Source organism: Homo sapiens, chromosome 15 (genome assembly GCF_000001405.40).
Source record: "Homo sapiens chromosome 15, GRCh38.p14 Primary Assembly".
NCBI lineage: Eukaryota > Metazoa > Chordata > Mammalia > Primates > Hominidae > Homo > Homo sapiens.
The window spans coordinates 58,657,069-58,677,990 of record NC_000015.10 but is presented as its reverse complement, the minus strand read 5'-3'; the positions used below and the strand labels follow the sequence as shown (position 1 = coordinate 58,677,990).

The 20,922-nt window shown below is 35.3% G+C and overlaps 1 protein-coding gene and 1 pseudogene across 2 annotated transcripts in view; one reads left to right on the top strand and one right to left on the bottom strand.

The window, feature by feature from the left end:
- The window catches only part of ADAM10 (ADAM metallopeptidase domain 10), a 160,899-nt gene that overhangs the window by 71,717 nt on the left and 68,260 nt on the right, over window positions 1–20,922 (top strand). For both annotated transcript variants that reach the window (NM_001320570.2, NM_001110.4), the window contains exon 5: window positions 12,794–12,894. In NM_001320570.2, coding sequence (NP_001307499.1) covers window positions 12,794–12,894 — 101 coding nt within the window. The remainder of the gene's footprint in view (window positions 1–12,793; window positions 12,895–20,922) is intronic.
- HMGB1P51 (high mobility group box 1 pseudogene 51) lies at window positions 4,893–5,710 on the bottom strand (annotated as a pseudogene).

Sequence of the window (20,922 nt, the reverse complement as noted above, 5' to 3'; positions counted from 1 at the left end):
CTTTCTGCTGACAAAATTATTATTTACCTGGTTTGTGTCTTGCTTTGTAGCTTTCTTAGTAATTTAACCTTTTTTTGCAGGGTTACCTCCCCTATCAGGGTATGTAAGTTCTTCAGGTATAGTTTCTGTTTCTTTTGCTCCTGTAATATTGCAAGTATCATTTGTCTGTGCAGCAGGCTTTTCATAAATACTTAATGAAATACTGGAATATTTTTCTAGAATGTTTTATCAAAATCAAAGAAAACCTTTTGAGGAATGAAGGAGAGGAAAAGCGTAATCTGCCAGATTATTTTTTCCTTTCTATCATATTGTAATTATACTTTCTCCATTGCTTTCTACTTGCTATCAGTGCCCTCTACTGTATTTGTTCTGCCTGTTTTGACTTCTGTTATTGTGCCTCTCTCATGTTTTCCTTCTTCTGTTATCTACTTGTGTGTAGTTTAAGAATATTCTTTTTTCCCACTTTTCTTTCTTTCTTGTAATATAATTGTATTTTTTGCATATTGCATCCAACAGTAATTTCCAAATATCTTAATAGGTGTCAATCTTTTTTTTTCCCCAAAGATGATGAGTTAGCTTGGAGGATGAATGACACTGGATGTTACTTGATTTTTTGTTCTTTTTGGCATTTAAATGCTTTATCATTGATATCAGCTTTTATTTTATACTTGTTTAAGTAAATATATGTTTGTGGTAAGGAGAACTTTTTAACATTCTTTTTATTATTACATATCAGTAGTGGGGTTAGAATTTAAAAGCAGCAATCTTTAAGGTGATTTTATTTGTAGCTTCTCAGGTAATTGAAATTGTAGGATATGAGGATGGGAGTACGGAAGGAGTTCCCTTAAACAGAGTTTTTAATGTTTGCAAATTTAGACAATTACTTGTGAAAAACTACCTAAAAATCTGTCAAGTGAACCATGGTTTAAGACAAGAAAACATTCATGTATTAGTCTTTTATTCTAAATAGTTGCTATATTTATATTCTAGACCGTGGTTCGCAAATTCTCTGCAGAGGGACAGAGAGTAAATATTTTTGGCTTTGAGAGCTGTATGTTTTATTGCAGCTACTCAGCTCTGCCATTGTAGCACGAGAACAGCCAAAGAAACACATAAATAAATAAGCATGGGTGCTTTTTTTAAAGAAATTATTATTTATTTATCTATTTTTTTGGAGACAGAGCCTTGCCCTGTTGCCCAGTCTGGAGTTCAGTGGTGTGATCATACCTCACTACAGCCTCAACCTCCTGGGCTCAAGTGAACCTCCTACCTCAGCTCTGTGAGTAGCTGGGACTCCAGGTATAAGCCACTGCTCCCAGCTAGCATGGCTGTTTTTAATAAAACTTCATAGACACTTAAATATTAATTTCATATATATTTCATATGACATAAAATATCATTCTTTTGATTTTTTCTTTAACCATTTAAAAATGTGGAAGCTACCCTTAGTTTTCATGTCAAACAAAAACAGATGGGAGGGCTCACTAAATTTAATAATTACTTTAATTGGTTCTTTAAATTCTCTGTGTAGAATATGACAGGTTCTAGAAGTAGTAGTAGTAGCAGCAGTAGTAAGAATAATTATTATGGCTTAATATATACCTGACAGTGTATAAAAATCTTTACTTGCATTATTGAATTGAATTCTCAAAATAACGTTATGAGATACTGGCACACCTATTATTCCCACTTTATAGGTGAAGGCTTAAACTGAGGCTTAGAAAACTTATGTCACTTGATTGTGGACCTCCTGTTCTTTACCCTGTGCTCTTCTGCTTCACTCATGGAAGAAAGCTGTAAATTCTCACTGCCTTTACTTCAAGGATTTCTGGGGCTTTTCTGAAATCTGTAAGCCTCTCTAAAATCATACATTTGCATCTATTGCTGTTTTAAGCCAAACTCTCTCCTTAATATATTTAGCAGTGTTTATTTTATAACTAAATGGCAAAGGATGCCCTTTAATGTGTATTATTATTTTTATATAATTGGTTTAAGTACTAATAATTTATTTTCAGAAGTAAAGTACTGCATTATTGTATCACTGTGAATGTTCTTAATTGGATTTGGTATCGTTGTATATGTTATCCTTACCAAAAAGAAGCAAATGGTAGGGGAGGCATACTAACCTTGGATATACCTTTTGATGAGAATTTGGCTACCCTCTTCTTAATACTGTTTTTGCAACTGAAGGCATAAATGTATAGAACCATCATGAAAAATGATACTGCTATTCTCCAGAACCTTGGGGAATGGCTTCTGAGACTGTACCAGAACACAGGGATAGTTTTCACTGAAAATACTTAATAATTTCTCTAGATGTGATAGTGATAAATATATATTGTTATCAGCTTAAAATGCATACTTATTTAATTCTGTACTTAGTAAAAAACACTCTCTCCTAGGACATGGTAGTGTGAACAGTTAATGACAAGGTAAGAATACCACTTAGTCCTCTGCCCCTTAGCACAGTTTATTTTAAAGAAACTGAGAAAAACATTGTTCCATAAACTAGAATAGTATTGTTATTAACATGAACAGGTTTTAGGAATATCTGACTATATGACTGCTTGCAATAATTCCCTTACACCTTTTTTGTGTACTACCTATCCAAGAGCTAAAGGTCTGAGTAATTTTTTTATTCTATACTTATAGAGAAATACTTAATCTCCAAATTAAAAAATATATTTTAATTGTATATGAAGAGCTGCAGAATAATTTATTTGGGTTTATTGCTTTCATTTCAAATTTATTATTTATTTTCCTTTGTGGGGTATAGAAAAGCCCAGAGAGGTTGAATTTGCCTATACCTCCGTCGCCCAGGCTGGAGTGCAGTGGTGCCATCTCAGCTCACTGCAACCTCCGCCTTCTGGGTTCAGGTGATTCTCCTGCCTCAGCCTCCTGTGAATAGCTGGGACTACAGGCATGTGCCATCACGCCCAGCTAATTTTTGTATTTTTAGTAGAGACGGGGTTTCACCATGTTGGCCAGGATGGTCTCGATCTCTTGATCTCTTGACCTCGTGATCCGCCCGCCTCGGCCTCCCAAAGTGTTGGGATTACAGGCGTGAGCCACTGTGCCCGGCCTGAATTTGTCTATACCTTATAGTAGTAGGGCACCCCTACTTTAGAATGTGTGTTAGCCATACCTATACTTATTTCTTCTTTCTCTTGTGCTTCAATGGGAAGACCTCCTATTTCTTGTTCTGAAAAATTAAGATTGTTAAACTTTATTTTACCATTTCAAGATGGAGGCCTCTTCATTCATGTAGAAGCTTCCTCATTTGTGGAAATGTCAGGATGTTGCATCTAAAACTTTTAAAATGTCAATTAGTTCCATATTGTGTTTTTGAAGTTGTTTTCTGTCACTGTTAGTGACAGGGAGAGACAAAAGGAAGGAATACAAGAGGGAAGAATAATTGAATTGGTAAGTATTGATAATAGCTAGCATTGTTTGTATCATTCACATATAACAGGAAAACTGTTTTAGAAAGCATTCTGGCTATACTTAGGTCCAGTCTGGAGATTGGAAATCTGCATAAGCATATTGAGTTGTGACAAACTATGTAGCCAACTGGAAAAGTTGAGATGTGGAGTGCTCTGATTGTTTGACTTCTGAACTCCCACAGTGCATACAAGTGTATTGGTTAATCTCTCTACTATATGTTTTGAATTTGTATGCTTTACTAAGCATTGATGTTAGATACTGAACTTATTTAAGCACAGTGATAGTATTTGAAAGAAATATAAAAATTTAGTGGTATTGTTGACTCTGTCTTTTCCTTTTTTCTGAGTTAATCTCTTGGGAAGTATAAATTAATTTTTCTAAACAACTCACAGGCACAGAAGCCGAAAAGTTGAGAAGGCCACAGATATGGGAGTTATTTTAAGAATAATATTTAATTAGAAATGTAGGATACTAAATTGGAAAGTTAAAAAAAAATCACAAAAAAAGAGGCAGTGGCTGGGTATGGTGGCTCACGCCTGTAATCCCAGCACTTTGGGAGGCTGAGGCAGGCGGATCACGAGGTCAGGAGATCAAGACCATCCTGGCTAAACAGTGAAACCCCGTCTCTACTAAAAATACAAAAAGTTAGCCGGGCGTGGTGGCAGGCGCCTGTAGTCCCAGCTACTCGAGAGGCTGAGGCAGGAGAATGGCGTGAACCCGGGAGTCGGAGCTTGCAGTGAGCCGAGATCATGCCACTGCACTCCAGCCTGGGCGACAGAGTGAGACTCTGTCTCAGAAAAAAAAAAAGAGAGAGAAAGAGACAGTGAGGGGCTTAATTCTTTTTAGCAGAATCTGGAAAAAATATGCTTAGACTTTTCATATTATGCATATTATGCATTTCATATTACGTAACGTTATATAAATAGGATAACAGTTGAAAATTTTAGATCAAGTTCTTTTCTGATTAGTTATATATATGTATGTATATGTATACATGTATATTCATATATATTTATCTTAAAACATCAATATAAAATATTTTAGCTATAATGAAATACAATGAATTATTTCAGAAATATAAGATTTTTAAAATAAAAAATTGTTATTAGAAGCATTTACAGTGTCAAAAAAACAGCTGCAGCTTTTTTTTTTTTTTTTGGCAATTACAGAGTGGTATTCAGTTAAGAGTAATACTTATTTTGTATAAGCTGCATCAGAGAGAAATGAAGGTGAAAAACTACCATCTCCATATATAACTCATTTGTGCTGTGCACCAATAAGAACCTGCTTTAGATTTTCATGCTGGCTTACAGCTCTCATACTGTTTCAGGCAAAGTTAGTGGTTATTGAAAATACCACCAGGATGGGCTGTCTGTCCGTCTGTCTGTCCTTCCATCCATCTGTATTTTTTTTTCTTTATGCTCTCTCATCAACTGACTGTCAAGGATGGGCTATCTAGAGACACATTTGATAGTGTGGTTAACTGTTAGTGTGTTAACTGTACAGTTTAAAAACAAAGCCTTACCTTTAAAGGTTTTTCTTTAAAAGGAGTGAGTTGTGTACAGGGGTGCTAAATAATTTATAAACAAGGACAAACACTGCACTAGAACCAACTTATTCATTATGATCATCTTCATCTTTCTTCTCTTCCTCATCCTCTTCATCTTCCTCCTTTTCCTTCTTATTTTCAACTTCCTCACCTTCCTCTTCTTTTTTTTTCAGCATTGACATCTCCCTTTTTTTTTTTTTTTTTTTTTTTTGCTGCATGAGGCCTTCCTTTAGCTCAGTATGCAGCAATATCCATTTCTTAGTTTTTCTTCAGCTTCACAGCCTTTTCATAAGGCTGCTTGTCATATGCACCATATCCACATCTTTCCCAGTTTCTTTGAAACATCACGAATGGATAGGTTTGGATATTCTCCTTAGATTTTTGGGCAGTACTCAGGGCAAAATGAAAAGACTGAAGGAGCCCTCTTGGGTACATTGGGATCCCTAAACTTTTTTGTTTCTTCTTTAGGAGGGATGTAAGTTTCTCTTTAATAGCCATCCTTGTCCCCCTTTGCCATGTCTTCAGATTTTCCTTTCTCTTTAGCAGATACGGCTTTCCACCTCTCTGAGCATTTTTTAGAAAATTCCGAGAAGTTAACTGAAGCATGAGTGCTGCTTCTTGTTCTCCTCCTGGAAGTTTGCACAAAGAATGCATATGATGACCTTTTGCCTCTTGGCTTCTTAGGATCTTCTTTTACCAAGTTTAGTTATTTTTCCTCAGAGAAGCACAGAGTCACCTAGTGCACATCTGGCTGCCATTTGCCCCAGCACTGTCTCCATGGAGGTCAATGTACTGTAATGGCTATCAGAAATACATGATTATATGAAAATAAAAAAAGCTTTCATGTTGTAAAGCAACTTTGAAAGTCACCCTAACAAGTAAAATTATATTTGAAATTTTTGTTTTTTCTTTTGAGAACTATCTTTTATTTTGTTTTACAAATAAATTGAGTAAGGAATTTTATAATTTTAGTATTGTAAAAGGCACTAGATTCAACACTCTAAAGATGACGGAAACTGAAGTCTAGAGTTATAAAACTTGTGCAGTATGACATGGATCCATGTCTTTTGGCTGCCACTCCAGTGCTTTATTTCTGTTACATTCTGAGTTAGGAGAGTTTAAAGGCTGCTAAAAGGCCAAGAACTTAATGACAATAGAGACAATGACAGTAAGGATTAAAAAAAAAAAGTTATTTTTGGTATCATTGATTTTGAAGGTGAGCCATATTTACTACTGAAAAAGCAAATTTATATTTTAGGCTCACTTTAAAAAATATATATATTTATTAATAGAGACGAGGTCTCACTGTGTTGCCAGGCTGGTCTCGAGCTCTTGAGCTCAAGTCATCCTCCTGCCGCGGACTCCTAAAGTGCTAAGATGACAGGTGTGAGCCACCATGCCTGGCCAAGGCTCAACTCTTATAAGTGATGAGTTACAGAAAAACTAGAAGAAATAGCATTTAGGAGTATGTGTGCGTGTATGTCCTAGAGATACTCGGAGCTAAACCTCAGCCTTTCACATCTCTGATAGCATAATTCATAGATTTATGTTTGTACCAGTGACCTTATAAGAGTGCCTGAGGACATTGGTCCAGGACTCTGGCCCTCTAAAAAGCTGCTTCTAAAGAGGCATTGTGAGATCTGGTTTATTAAAGACATGTTATATTCTGTTCATGATTTATAAATTGGGGGATTAGATAATCTCCATAAGCAGTCTTGCTATCTTGTATTTATATTTGAACATAAAAGTCTAGAATTTATAGATGTGGATTTTACTGGTTTTAGCTTCTAGAGACTTCTTAGAATCATTTTTTATAGGCAAGCTTGTAGATCTACTAGTTAAAACTGTTTTTTGGTTTAATTTGTTTGCTCAAGATCATACAAGTTAGTGGTCTTGGTACATGGTAGGGAGAAGGCACAAGAGGTAATATGTCAAAGAACTGAGGCATGGCATATATATGAAAAGAGTTAGAAATGAAATCAAGGTGATATGTTAGAATAGCTTTATAACCTTATACAGGTAATGTACTTTTTCTTGGTCTCATTTTCTTCAGGTATAAAATGAGGGTGTTAGATCATGGTGCTAATATCTCTTATCTCTTCTAAAAGTTAATGGTTCTAAACTACTTTTCCTTTAAAGTTGGAAATATCTTGATTGATCATGGCTGACAAATAAAAAGTAAAAATAAAAATATTTTTGTGCTGATTGGGAAATGACTATATAAAATGGCTATTCTTGTATGTAAATTAAGTATTTTTCTTAAGTAAATTAAGTATTCTTGTATGTAAATTAAGTATATTAAGATGAAATGTGTCCACCACCATTAACATTTTTATGAATAGCCCTTCAGATCTCATATACCATTTTAAATTTCATGTACAGTTATATCTTAGATCTCTTTCTGTGTCAATAAACATAGCTCTACATTTTTCCTTTAAATGGCTACATAAAATTCTGCTGTTTCCTTGATAAATGTATTATTTACCAGCCTGCCAACTAATGGATGTATAGATTGTTTCCTCTTTTTTACTGTTAAAAATTGCAACAGGTAACATTCTTGCACATATTTTCTCCCCTCAATATTTTTATGGTTATTTCCTTAAGATTAATTTCCTAGAAGTAGCATTGTCAGACATTTGCATTTTGATACATATTGCCAGATATCTCTTTAAAAAGGTTACACAGATTTATACTCTTACACCTATAAATTAAATATTGACTTAATAATACCTTCATGTATAGTCTGTGGACACACTTCCCCAATTACTTCACAAAAATGTCTCCTATTTTTTTTTTTTTAATACAGGATTTAATCAGGGTCTACACATTGCCTTTGAGTGTCACATCTCTGTAGTCAGTATTACTCTTTTAACAGCTTAATTGAGGAAAAATTGATAGCAATAAACTGCTTATATATAAAGTTTATAATATTGATAACTTTTGACATATGTTTATGTCTGTGAAACTATCATAGCATTTAAGATAATAAACATGCCCATCACCCCCAAAAGCTTTCAGTGTAATTCTTCTCTCCTCTACTCCCCGCTACCCTCTTGCACTAATCTCTAGGTTAGTTTGCACTTTCTGAAATGTTATATAAGCACAATTATACATTATGTACTCTTTAAGAAAGTCTGGCTTTAACTCAGCATAAATAGTTTGGGATTCGTCCATGTTGTATGTATTAAAAGTTAATAACTTTTTGTTGATAAATAGTAGTCTGTTGTGTGGATACCATGATTTGTTAATACATTTGCCTGTTAATGGACATTTTGGTTGGGTTATTACAGACAAAATTAAGGTTTTTAATATTAACTCATCAAGTATTGGTCGATTAAAGAGAAGATAAATTTTGAAGAGGCAAGGGGATGAAATAACTACTAAGGACCAAAAAATCTTGCTCTGTTGCCTGAGCTCTAGAGAGGGGGCATTTGGAAACAAGACAAGCAAAATACCCAAAGAATTTTAATTTAAGCTAGTAGCATATACAGCATGTACATTCTCTCTCCTCCAAGCTGATAATACAACTTAGGTGTAATCTCCTAGAATTTTTTCCTGACCTCACAGTTCTGGGTATCCTCTCTTTACTGCTGTTTATGTGTTGATAAGTCTTCCCTATCTTTTGAATCCAGTGGTTTACTGGTCATTGATCATATGACTGACCTTTGAGAGGCATGGAAGGAAACCAGCTGTTGACTGGATGAGTAAATTAAATTCAACCAGTGTTTAATAAACTGTGGATGATTGCCGGGAGACCTTAACACTTGGGAAGTTGGTACTTAAATGCCATGCTTGTTTACATGTCAGACACCTCAGCTAGACTGACAGCTCTTGAGAGTGCATGTTCTATGTCATTTATTTTTGTATCCCTTTGTTTGGTATATAATAATTTTTCTTAATTGTTTGCTTAATAAATTAATGCAGTTAAAAATAACATTGACATATGATTAGGAGATTTATGTGTACACAGCTGTTAATTTTGAATGTTCTGTATGTTATAGTCAATCTGTAAAGCAGTTAGGAATTTAGAACACACTTTGCCGTAGAAACAATTTAAAGTGTTAGACAATTCCTCTTTATTGTAGGTGGAATGAAGGCTAAAAGGAGGTTATGGGAGCCAGCAGTTTATAGGTCTTTGGTTAATGGATGACCTTTGAAAAGAGGCATAGAAACCACATACTGGCTGAAAAATTAAATTCAACAAGTATTTATTGGTTTGTGAATATACAGGAAAGAGAATTTTAAAATTTCCCCTGAAGATTAAAAACCTTCAGGGGAATTTTCAGTAATAGAGAGTCAAAATGTGGTAAATGCTATAACAAAAATGTTATCAAAGCCCTGGGGTAGTGCATACTACCTCAGTGAGGGAGCTTTAGGGAGATTTAGGAAGACTTCCCTGGGGAGGTGGAATTTGACTTGAACCTTGAAGATAAGGGGTAGACTTTTGATTGCTAGAGGAGAGAATCTGTGATCACAGGAGAAGCCTCAGCCCTATTACTCTGGCTGCAACAATATTTCTTTTCAGTTGTCACAGCTTGGGAACTAAAGAAAGGAAAAGAGATTCGCATGTTCTTTGGCCTAGTCACCCATTCACCCCTGTGTATAGCTGTATAGTCCCAAGTCAAATACACGTAAATAATGGTCACTTAAAGTTAGTATGTTACAAGTTTTCATTCCAAGTGTCAGTTGTAAGTTTTACAGGTTTAACAACTGATTAATTTGTTAATAAACATTTTTTGAGTGCCTAATCTGTACAAGACACTTTTAGAAACTATCCATACAATAATGAATAGGGCAAAGGTTCTGCCTTAAACACTTTAGAGTCTAGTAATTCTGTTTGTCATTGATCAGAATAATAAAGCAACATTTCTCTGGTTGACCTGACTCCCATTATCCTTTGGCTGCCAATAGTAACCCTTTCTTTCTAAAACCCATGGGGTGAGAAGGGACATGTCTGGCCCTCTTCCTCATCTCTGTTTCCAGAGAGATCAGTGTTGTGAGTGCTTGTGGAAAGTGGGGTCATTTTCAACTTCCTCCTCTTTCTAGGGACAATCACTCTGTGCTTTTCTTATGCCCACTTACCCTCCCAAAACAGAAATTAGACATGGGGATTGGGAAGACATGAGAATTGGTACCCGGGAGAAACGGCCTCCCATCCACTGGAATTAGGAGGAAGAACATTTGGAGTTCTTTCCTGTCTCCAAACTTTTCATTTCTTCTCAAAAGAAAAAAAAAAAAGCCTATCCTTTCTTCTACTCTCCATCAGTGAATCCTTGTTGATGTAGGCAACTTTGGGAATAAATGACGATTTTCATGGACAAGGCCCCCACCTCATGATACTCTGGATACTAACAAAAATAATTTTTATGCATAATAATATTATTCTATAGAAGTCATTCTATTTTAAATTCAATTAATGCAGATTTTTAAAAATTGGCTTTGGTGATTCATGGCATATTATTGGAGGGATTACCATCCAGTTTTGACTATTAGAGGGTCATCTCATAGCCAAGGCCTTGGATGTTTGCAGTTAAGTTTCTGAGCTGCTAGTCACATAAGGCTGAGGGGTACCCTGTTGGAGGTAGTGAGGGTGCAAAAAGTGAGTATTTTATGCCTAGTTCTGTTGACAGAGAATCTGAACTGTAAATATTCCTCCTTGAAAGAGTGGATGATTGAGAGTTAACTAGAGCTATTTCCTGCTTGAGTTAGAGTCACAATATATGTACTATTTATATTTGTGTCTTGAACAACAAAACAAAAGCAAGAGGCTGGCAGAGGAACTGGAAGAAAGGCAATAGATCTAAAGCTGATCTTTGTTTTAAATAGGCCGAATATTCTACACCCATGACTCATTGTTTGTGAAAGAATATGCTGTTTGGCCTTTTCAGGGGAACTACAGTGCATCCTATGATTTAGCATCTCAATGAGGGCTTATTCATTAGTTGAACAAAGGCTTTTTCTAGAAATGAGGATTATATTGTTAGTAATTTTAGAGGGAAAATGTCATTGTCCATTTTTATAGTTAATGTGGTGTCCAAGGAAAACAGCATCTTTTAGAAATTTTGAAAGTATATGGGAAAAATTGCATGCTTGACCCTTTCTATTGGGAGAGTTTTGTGCTGACAGAATTTGAAGCATATATAAATACTGTTTTGTTGCTTTGGAAATATTTGGAAATTTTTTTTACCCTAAGTTTCAAGCTTTCAAAAGGAATTTATATTTTTAATTCGTGATATATAAAATTCAGTTTGCGAAGAAATAAAACACTAATTCTTTTAAAATCCCAATGTTTTAAGTAACAATGTACTAAATAAATGTTTTTTTTTGTTCCCCTATACATTAATAACCAATGGTAAGTGAGTTTTAGGGTTTTGACGAAAGATTTTAAAGGTCACAGAACAGTTGTAATTTTTTCCCCATTGATTATTAAGATCATTTTGCATAGTTTCAGCTTGCATGGTCAGTTTTATGACTGGCACTTACTGGTGTGGCAAAGCAAGGACTGCCTGGTGTTAACTAGGTGAATGAAATTGAGAATAGACTCTGGAAATTCAGTTGCTAGCTGGCATTAAGGAACTGCTTGAGGTTATAGATCATGACTTTTGAATGAGACTGGAATTACTAGTTTTTCTTTAGCCTCATTCAGCTTCAGGAGGAGCTTCTCTCTTTCATAGTTACACTTCTGAAGTAAGTAAGACACCACTGCATTCACCATCAACTCCCTTCAGGGGCGTTGGGGTGGAGCACAAGGGAGTTGATGGTGAATGCAGTGGTGTAATTATAATAATAATTGACTGTGGGATTTAAACTGAATAAGGAAGAGAAAGAATATCTGGTGATAGACAATAAGGTGGTAGCATTGGTGGATTAAAGGGTCTCACTGATGTTAAAGGGTTGATGGAACCTAGAGGGAATGTGCTGAAAAGATAAGTGGTGGAAAGAAAGTAGAATACTAGAAGTTGAGATTATGAAGTGCTTTCAGTTATCAATAGTGACAAGTTCAGAAGAGTAACTATGGAAATGAGAAACTGAGGTAGGAAAAAATCATTGGAGAAAAGAACTGAGTGTAGTGGAAGGATCATCGTCATGAATGATGAATGATGATGAATGAATGATGAATGATGTCATCAGTCATGATGATGAGGTGGTGTCAGAGAGACTGACAGTAAGTCAGGATCTAAAAATAAGGAAATAAGGGCAGTAATGACTTGGGTGACAACAAATGCCTGTAATAAGTTGGGGTAGTCAGTGATACAGTCACGTAACTGTAAAACTGAGCTACTATGAGAATAGTCTTAATGGTCCTAAGGGAGAAAGTGGTAGATAGTTGTGTTTTGTGAAATGAGGGGTGGGGAGTATCTTCCCAAGAGTAGGAAGAGTTTTGGGGTTCTCTTTTATATTTGCTAGAGTCCTCCTGATGGAGCTCAGGAATACTGCAGAAGGATTCTCTTGACCCCTGCCAGATGATGGTCCAGAAACATAGATATTCTCTTGGTGACAGCCGAATGCAATATATTGGTGATAGGGTCAGAATAATGAGTGGTTATTGCCCTTTTTTAGAATTCACAAATCATCTATATGACAAAAAGCTAAAGACCAGTGGTTTTTATTGAGGGAGAGCTTAGGAACCTGCTAGGTTTTAGCATTAAAATGCCTAGCATAATGCCTTTTCCATAGGTGCTTAATAAGCATTTATGGTTTTCATTAGTTAAGACAGTTAAATTTTTACTTGTAATTCTCATTTATAATTGGTTATACCTAAATGTGTGATAGTAATGACGTTTCTTCTTTGTATTTTAGACTATCCCCATAAATACGGTCCTCAGGGGGGCTGTGCAGATCATTCAGTATTTGAAAGAATGAGGAAATACCAGATGACTGGTGTAGAGGAAGTAACACAGGTAAGGATTTTAACACTAGCTTGCATTTAGGAAATGGAAATGAATTTGAGGATGTATATCTACATTTAAAATATATGTTCTAGGATTTCTGAAAGACTTAACACCACTGTGGGGAATGTTTTTTAATGCTCAAAGAGGCCAGGTAACGTGCCAATAATAAAGAGATAGGACTGAGGTTTGAATACAAATATATGTGACCCAAAAGACATTACAAGTCTAAAATATACTATCCTTTACATGTTTTGTTATAAAAGAAAACAAATGTTTTATATAAATGTAAATATTTTTATTAGCATTAAAATTAGAGTGACCACTTGCCTTGGTTTGCCAAGGTATTCCTCATTTTTAACACTGAACGTTGTGTGTCAGCAGACAATCTGGTTGGTCATGTTAATAAAAATCTCAGGACTTTTCGTATTTTAATTATTTTTTTCCCTTCCTTTTTCTTTAGTCATAGGTGACAGGTTATAGTTATTCAAAACATAAGTTCAAAATGAGAAAACATTTTTTCTTTTATGATAAAACATTTATCATATATTTTGGACATCCTTTCTAAAAGTAGTATGGTAGAGTTATGTTTCTTGAGCCATGAATATTTGTATTCAGATCTATTCTTTGATCTGTAAAATGGCATAAACAATTCTGTTTCAGGTGGGTCTTTCTAGTGTTAAGTGAGATTTTATTCTTATATGTATTGAAGAAGTACATATTGATCTTCTGCCATATGTCAGAGACTGTGGAAAGTTCTGGGAATATGTGGAGATTAAGATGAAGGCTATTCTCAAAAGGTTATCGTTTAATTGGAGACACAGAGAAACAATTTAGAGTAGTAGGAGAGGGTTAAGTATAGGATGATATTCTACACACAAGAGGAATAGCTAATCTAGCCTTATAAGTATTTGAAGGCAATAATCAGACCTTAAGAATAAGTAGGAGTTAGGTTAGCCATGAGGATATGGAAAGACTATTCCAAGCAGGAGGAACAGTACATACAAAGGCCAAGGAGACAGAAAGATCAGTAAAGAATTTTTAACATGAGGGTAGAGTTTAAGAGTAGATTTTAGGAGACTAATGAGAAGTTGTTGTAGTTATTCAGTTGAGAAGTGATAGTGGCCTGTACTAATGTATTGGCAATTTGGATAGAGGGGTTGAGATTATAGACTGTTAGATATGATAGAATTTAGCATGGTGCTTGATAAAATATTAATATACAAAAGTAGGTTGCATTTATTTATACCACGAGTAGACTACCAGAAATATAATGAAAGGGTGGACATTGTTAATAATGTCAGAGAATATTATATATTATAGAATAAATGTAACAAAGAATTATAAGACCTATGTAAGGAAAATCAAAACTTTATAAAAATATTAAGGAAGATTGATTTTAAATGAATGGAGAGATATACCATATTAATGGGAAATAATAATATTATAAAATTATCAGTTCTCCCTTTATTGATTTGTAGATTCAATGGTAGTCCAATACACATTACAACAGGCTTATTCACAACACTCAATGGGTCAAAAATGTTATATGGAAAAGTAAGGACTAAGAAGAAGTAGGGCCCATTTAAAGACGATGAACAGGAAAGAGGGAAAGAGGGATTTACCCTAGGAGGTATTAAGACTTGCTATAATAATTGAGAGTGTGATAGCACAAGGATGGACAAATTAACTAGCGGAATAAAAATGAGTGCTTAGAAAAAGACCCATGCGTATATGAAACTTTGTTATGTGGTAGAGATGCAATCTCAAATTAGTAAGGAAAAGTGAGGACCATTGAATAAATGGATCCAGAAAAAAATGTTTATCTATTTGAAAAAAGATGAAGTTGGATCACCATCCTACAACAATAAAGTCCAGGCTGTAAATGAAGTCCATATTTACAACAAAAAAGTCTAGATGGATTGAAGTTTTAAATGTCTAAAATGAAAACTTTGAAACTTGTAGATTTCCCTTTCAAGCTGTGATAGAGTAACTGATATCTAACTAGGCTTTCTACAACAAACAACTAGAAAACCAAACAAAATATTTCAAACAATTATTTTCAAACATTAGAAAACAAGCATTGCAGGATTGATATCTGAGTGAGGAAATAAATATCTCTGTGATTTCCCTGCCTTCTTGGCTGGAGTCGAAATTTCAGATATGACACACAGAAGGAGATCTCAAGAAGGATAAAAACACAGCAGTGTTGCTGAGTTGAAGAGTTAGAATTAAGAGTTCAGGAAGACTGAGGTGTCTGGACTTACGGGCGCAATACCTGAGAGGAGAGAGCTGTGTTGAGAAAAAGCTCCAGATATCTGCACAGGTGTTGCTTTCCTTGAGTCTTAGCTGAATACTAAGCTGTGCCTGCCTGCACGGGATGAAATTCTTTGAGAAAACCATGAGACAAAGAAAAACTACCTGGACTCTGTGAAATGAACAACTGTCAAAAACAATACTTGGGCCAGGTGTGGTGGTTCATGCCTGTGAATCCCAGCACTTTAGAAGGCTGAGGCAGCAGGACCACTTGAGGCCAGGAGTGCGAGACCAGCCTGGGCAAACTAGCCAGATCTCATCTCCATAATAGTAATAATTATTATTATTTTTAATTAGCTGGGTGTGGTGATGAGCATCTGTAGTCTCAGCTACTCTGGAGGCTGAGACGAGAGGATTTCTTGAGCCCAGGTGGTTGAGGCTGCTGTGATCCATGATTGTGCCATGGCACCCCAGCCCGGGCAGCAGCGCGAGACCCTGTCTCTAAAAAAATTACACTTATTAGATATCCCAAGCCGTGGTAGTAGCAGGGCTAACCTAGCCCTAGAGTAGAAGCTACTTCAGACCTGCCCTTCCTAAGCAGAAAAACAAACCTCAAAAATGTCAAACTGCTTTTCAAATAAATTAGCTGTCTGTCAGAGAAAAGCTCAATAATATTTGTTAAAGGAGGACACTAAGTCCAGTTACTCAGCAGTATAACATTCAGTGTTCAGCATTCAAAGAACATTACTAGATGACAAGAAACTGAAAAACGTGATTCATAATAAGGAGAAAAGCCACCTAAATAGAAACACAACGTCTGTTAATTACAGATGTTAACAGGCAAGGACTTTAAAACAACTATTATTAGTATGTTCAAAGAATTAAAGACATGAACACAAAAAGGAGAGAATGGAAATTCTAATAAAGAACCAAATGGAACTTCTAGGGTGAAAAATATATTATCTGAGGTAAAAAATTTAGTGGATAGGCTTAAAAGAAAATTAATTACTGCAGAACTCAATATGAATATACTTGAGTAAAGGAAAATAAAATAGACAGTATCCATATCTAAGCACAGAGGGAAAATAATTGACGTCCAGCAGGAAGAGATGCAGAAAAAAATATTTAAAAATTAATGCCTCCGAATTTTTAGATACTAGGAAAAATTTCAATTCATGGTCCAAGAAACTCAATGAAACACGTGCAGGATAAACACAAAGAAAACCATACCAGGGTATGTTACAATTAAATTATTGGAAACACCTGAAAATCATAAAAAACCATAAAAGCAGGCAGAGAAAAGGAGATACATTTACATACAGGGGAACAAAGATAAGTATAACTGGTGACTTCTCATTACACAGTACAAACTGGAAGACATAGAATAACATCTTCAAAGTGTTGACAGAAAACCTGCCAAACTAGGATTCTATATTCAGTGAAAATAATTTTCAAAAACAAGGCAAATTAAAGATCTTTTTAAATAAAAATTGAGAGAATTTGTGTCTAGGTGACCTACACTGTAAGAAACATTAAAGGAAGTTCTTCAGGCAGAAAAAGATACCAGATGGAAACTCGGATACACACAGAAGAGTGAAGAACATAAAATAGTAACTATATAGATAAATATTAAGCAGTTTTTTCTCATTTAAAAAAACCTTCAAGAGATTATTACCTAAGTCCAAATAATAAGGTATAATGGATTTTGTAATATACAGAGAATCAAAATTTATGACAGTAGTGCAAAGGACAAGAGAAAGAAGAATAGAAGTATGTTTCTTAAACAATTTGTGAAGTGATGTAATTTTGACAGGTAAACTGTGCCGTGATAAAGATGGATATTGTAAACCGTAGAGCCGGGGTCAGCAAACTACGGCCTGTGGGCCAGATGTTTGCTTTTGTAAGTAAAGTTTTATTAGAACACAGCCACACCTATTCATTGATAGGTTGTCTATGGCTGCTTTTACATTATAGTGGCAGAATTGAAGAGTTGTGATAGAGAACAACTACATGTTGTTCAAAAGTCTAAATGTTTACTATTAGGCCTTTTCAGAAAAAGTTTGCAGGAATTTCCTCTGCCCTTGGAGCAACCATTGAAAAAAGAAGAGGAAATAATTTAACATGTTAATAAAATAAATCAAATGTATTTAAAAACAGTTAAGAGAAGTTAGGAAGAAGAGAAAAAGGAACAAAAAACTGATGGGATAAATAGAAAATAAATAGCAAGGTGGTAAGTTTAAATCTAACCATATTGATGACTGCATTAAATATAAATGGACTGCTGAGGTGTGAAGATTGCTTGAGGCCAAGAGTTCAAGACCAACCTGGCCAACACAGCGAGACCCTGTCTCAATTTTTTTTAATTAAAAAAATATAAATGGACTAAGCACGTTAATTAAGAAACTGAGATGGTTAGAGTGATTAAAAAAAAAAGACCAAATGAGCGTAAAAGAAATGCAATTTAAATGAAAAGACACAGTTTTAACATTTAAAGAGCTAGGTGAGATGGTTCACTCTTGTAGGCCCAGCTTGTCAGGATGCTGAAGTAGGAGGATTACTTGAATGTAGAAGGTTGAGACTGCAGTGAGCCATGATTGATTGCACCAGTGTACTCCAGCCCAGGCTGCAGAGTGAGACCCTATTTAAAAAAAAATAAAAAGAAAAAAAAGAAAAGAAAATAGCTAATTGTTTTGGATTTGGGTCATAAAATGATGGAACAGAAATTGGGTTTAGTTAATTATGCTATGAATTAATTTATGGATCCATATTCTCAGAGTTTATCCTTAAAGACAGTCTTAAAGTCCTTAAGAAAATAAAGAGAGAACGGCCAGGCGTATTGGCTCACACCTGTAATCCCAGCACTTTGGGAGGCCGAGGCAGGCGGATCACAAGATCAGGAGATCGAGACCTTCCTAACACAGTGAAACCCTGTCTCTACTAAAAATCCACAACCAAAGTTAGCTGGGTGTGGTGGCGGACGCCTGTAGTCCCAGCTACTGGGGAGGCTGAGGCGGGAGAATGGCATGAATCCAGGAGGCGGAGCTTGCAGTGAGCCGAGATTGCACCACTGCACTCCAGCCTGGGCGACAGAGTGAGACTCTGTCTCAAAAAAAGAAAGAGAAAACTTCATAACACATTTTATGAGGGCAGTGTTACTTTGATAGTCATACCAGAGACATTACAAGAAAACTAAGCTACAGGGCAATATTCCTCAGAAATATAAAAGTAAAATTTCTTAAAATATTAGCAAGTGAAATCCAGCAATATATATAAAAAAACACATTATGCTCAAATGAAGTTTATACCAGAAATGCAAAATTGATTAACATTAGAAAATTTGTGTAATCCACCACATAAACATAATAAAGGATGAAACCCCTCTGATTATCTCAGTAGACTAGTAAAAAAGCATTGCCAAATTTCAGCACTCAACACATGGCAAACTAAAAATAGAAGGAAGCTTTCTTAGGCTAGTAAGAGCTTTTTATAAAAAACCTACAGCTGATACCATGCTTAAAAGTGAGAGACTAAGTCCTTTTCCTTTGAGACCAGGAATAAAAGCTTTTTTTTTTTCTTTTTTGAGACGGATTCTCGCTCTGTCTCCCAGGCTGGAGTGCAGTGGTGTGATCTCGGCCCACTGCAACCTCCACCTCCCGGGTTCAAGTGATTCTCCTGCCTCAGCTTCCTGAGTAGCTGGGATTACAGGTGCGCACCACCACGCCCACCTAATTTTTGTATTTTTAGTAAAGATGGGGTTTCACCATGTTGGTCAGGCTGGTCTTGAACTTTTGAACTCATGATCTGCCTGCTTCGGCTTCCCAAAGTGCCGAGATTACAGGTGTGAGCCCACTGCGCCCAGCCAAGGAATAAAAACTTCTACTCAGCATTATACACAAAGTCCTAGCCACCATAATAAGGCAAGAAAAATAAATGAAAGGCATACAGATTATAAAGGAAGTAGTTAAAGGTAATACAAGAGTATACCTAGAAAAAGTTACTAGAATCAATAAGCAGACTTATCAAGGACATAGGCTAAAAGTTGGTATAATCAGTCGTATTCTATATACTGGCAATGAATATTTAGAAAATGAAAAAAATTAAAATAGCATCAAAATATAAAATATGTAGAATAAATTTAACAAAATATGTGCAAGATGTGTACATGAAGAACTAGAAAACATTGCCAAGAAAAATTAAAGATTAAATAAATTGAGAAATAAACTTTGTTTGTGGTTGGAATCCTCAATGTTAATATGTCAGTTCTCCCCAAATTGTTCTGCAGATTCAGTGCAGTCAGTATCAAGACTTCCAGTGGACATTTATCTAGTAGTTGACAAACTGATTCTAAAAGTTATACTGAAAGGTAAAAGATCTAGAATAGACAAAACAATTTTCAAAAAAGAACAAGGATGGAAGATTTAATAGTATTTGGTTTTTAAGACTTAGTATAAAGTTACAGTAATCAAGATAGTGTCATCTTGACCTAAGGGTAAACATGTAGGTAAATGTAGCAACATAGAGAGTCCACATGGTCAGTTGATTTTTGCAAAAGTCCCAAGGTAATTTAAAAGAGGAAAGAACAGTCTTTTCAACAAATGGTACTGGAACAATTGGATATCCATATGAAAAAAAAATTGAGATTCACCTGTACTTCACACCTTATACAAAAATTAACTCAAAATGGAAAATGGACCTATATGCCAAAGCTAAAACTAAAACTAGGAAAAAACATAGGAGAAATTTTTGTGACTTGTGATAACAATTTCTCAAGGCACAAAAATTCCCTATGAAAAACATGTATAAACTGACTTCATCAAATTGAAAAACCTTGCCTCAAAAAACATAGTTAAGAAAAATAGGAAAACAAGCCACAGACTGAGAAAATGTCCACAATGTCTCTGATAAAAGGCTTTTTTCCAGAATAGTAAAGAACTGTTATAACTCAGTTAAGAAAAAAAAAAAAACACAAACCCCAATTAAAAAATGGACAGTGCACCTGGAAAGCCTTTCCAAGAAGGACAGGCACAAATAAGCCCAGACTGTGAGGACTACAGTGAATACGTAACTCTTCAATGCCCAGACGTGAACCAACATCCACAAGCGTCCAGACCATCCAGGAAAACATGACTTCACCAAAGAAACTAAATAAGGCACTGGGGACAAATCCTGGAGAATGGATCCAGAGATAGGTGACCTTTCAGATAGAGAATTAAAAATAGCTGTTTTGAGGAAACTCAAAGAAATTCATGATAACACAGAGAAGGAATTCGGAATACTATCAGATAAATTTAAAAAACATTGAAATAATTAAAAAGAATCAAGCAGAAATTCTAGAGTTGAAAAATGCACTTGACATACTGAAGAGTGCATCAGAGTCTCTTAGTAACAGAATTGATAAAACAGAAGAATTAGTGAGCTTGAAGACAGGCTATTTGAAAATGTAAAGTCAGAGGAGACAGAAAAGGAATACTCTAAAAGAATGAAGAACACCTATAATATCTAGGAAATAGCCTCAAAAGGGCAAACATAAGAATTATGTCCTTAAAGAGGAGGTAGAGAAAGAGATAGGGGTAAAAAGTTTATTCAAAGTGATAATACCAGAGAACTTCTCAAACCTAGAAAAAGATATCAACATTCAAGTGTAAGAAGGTTATGAAGCACCAAGCGTATTTAACCCAATGAAGACTAACTCAAGGCATTTAATAATCAAACCAGCAAAGGCCATAAAGAAAAGATCCTAAAAGCAGCAAGAAAAAAGAAACAAATAACCTACAATGGAGCTCT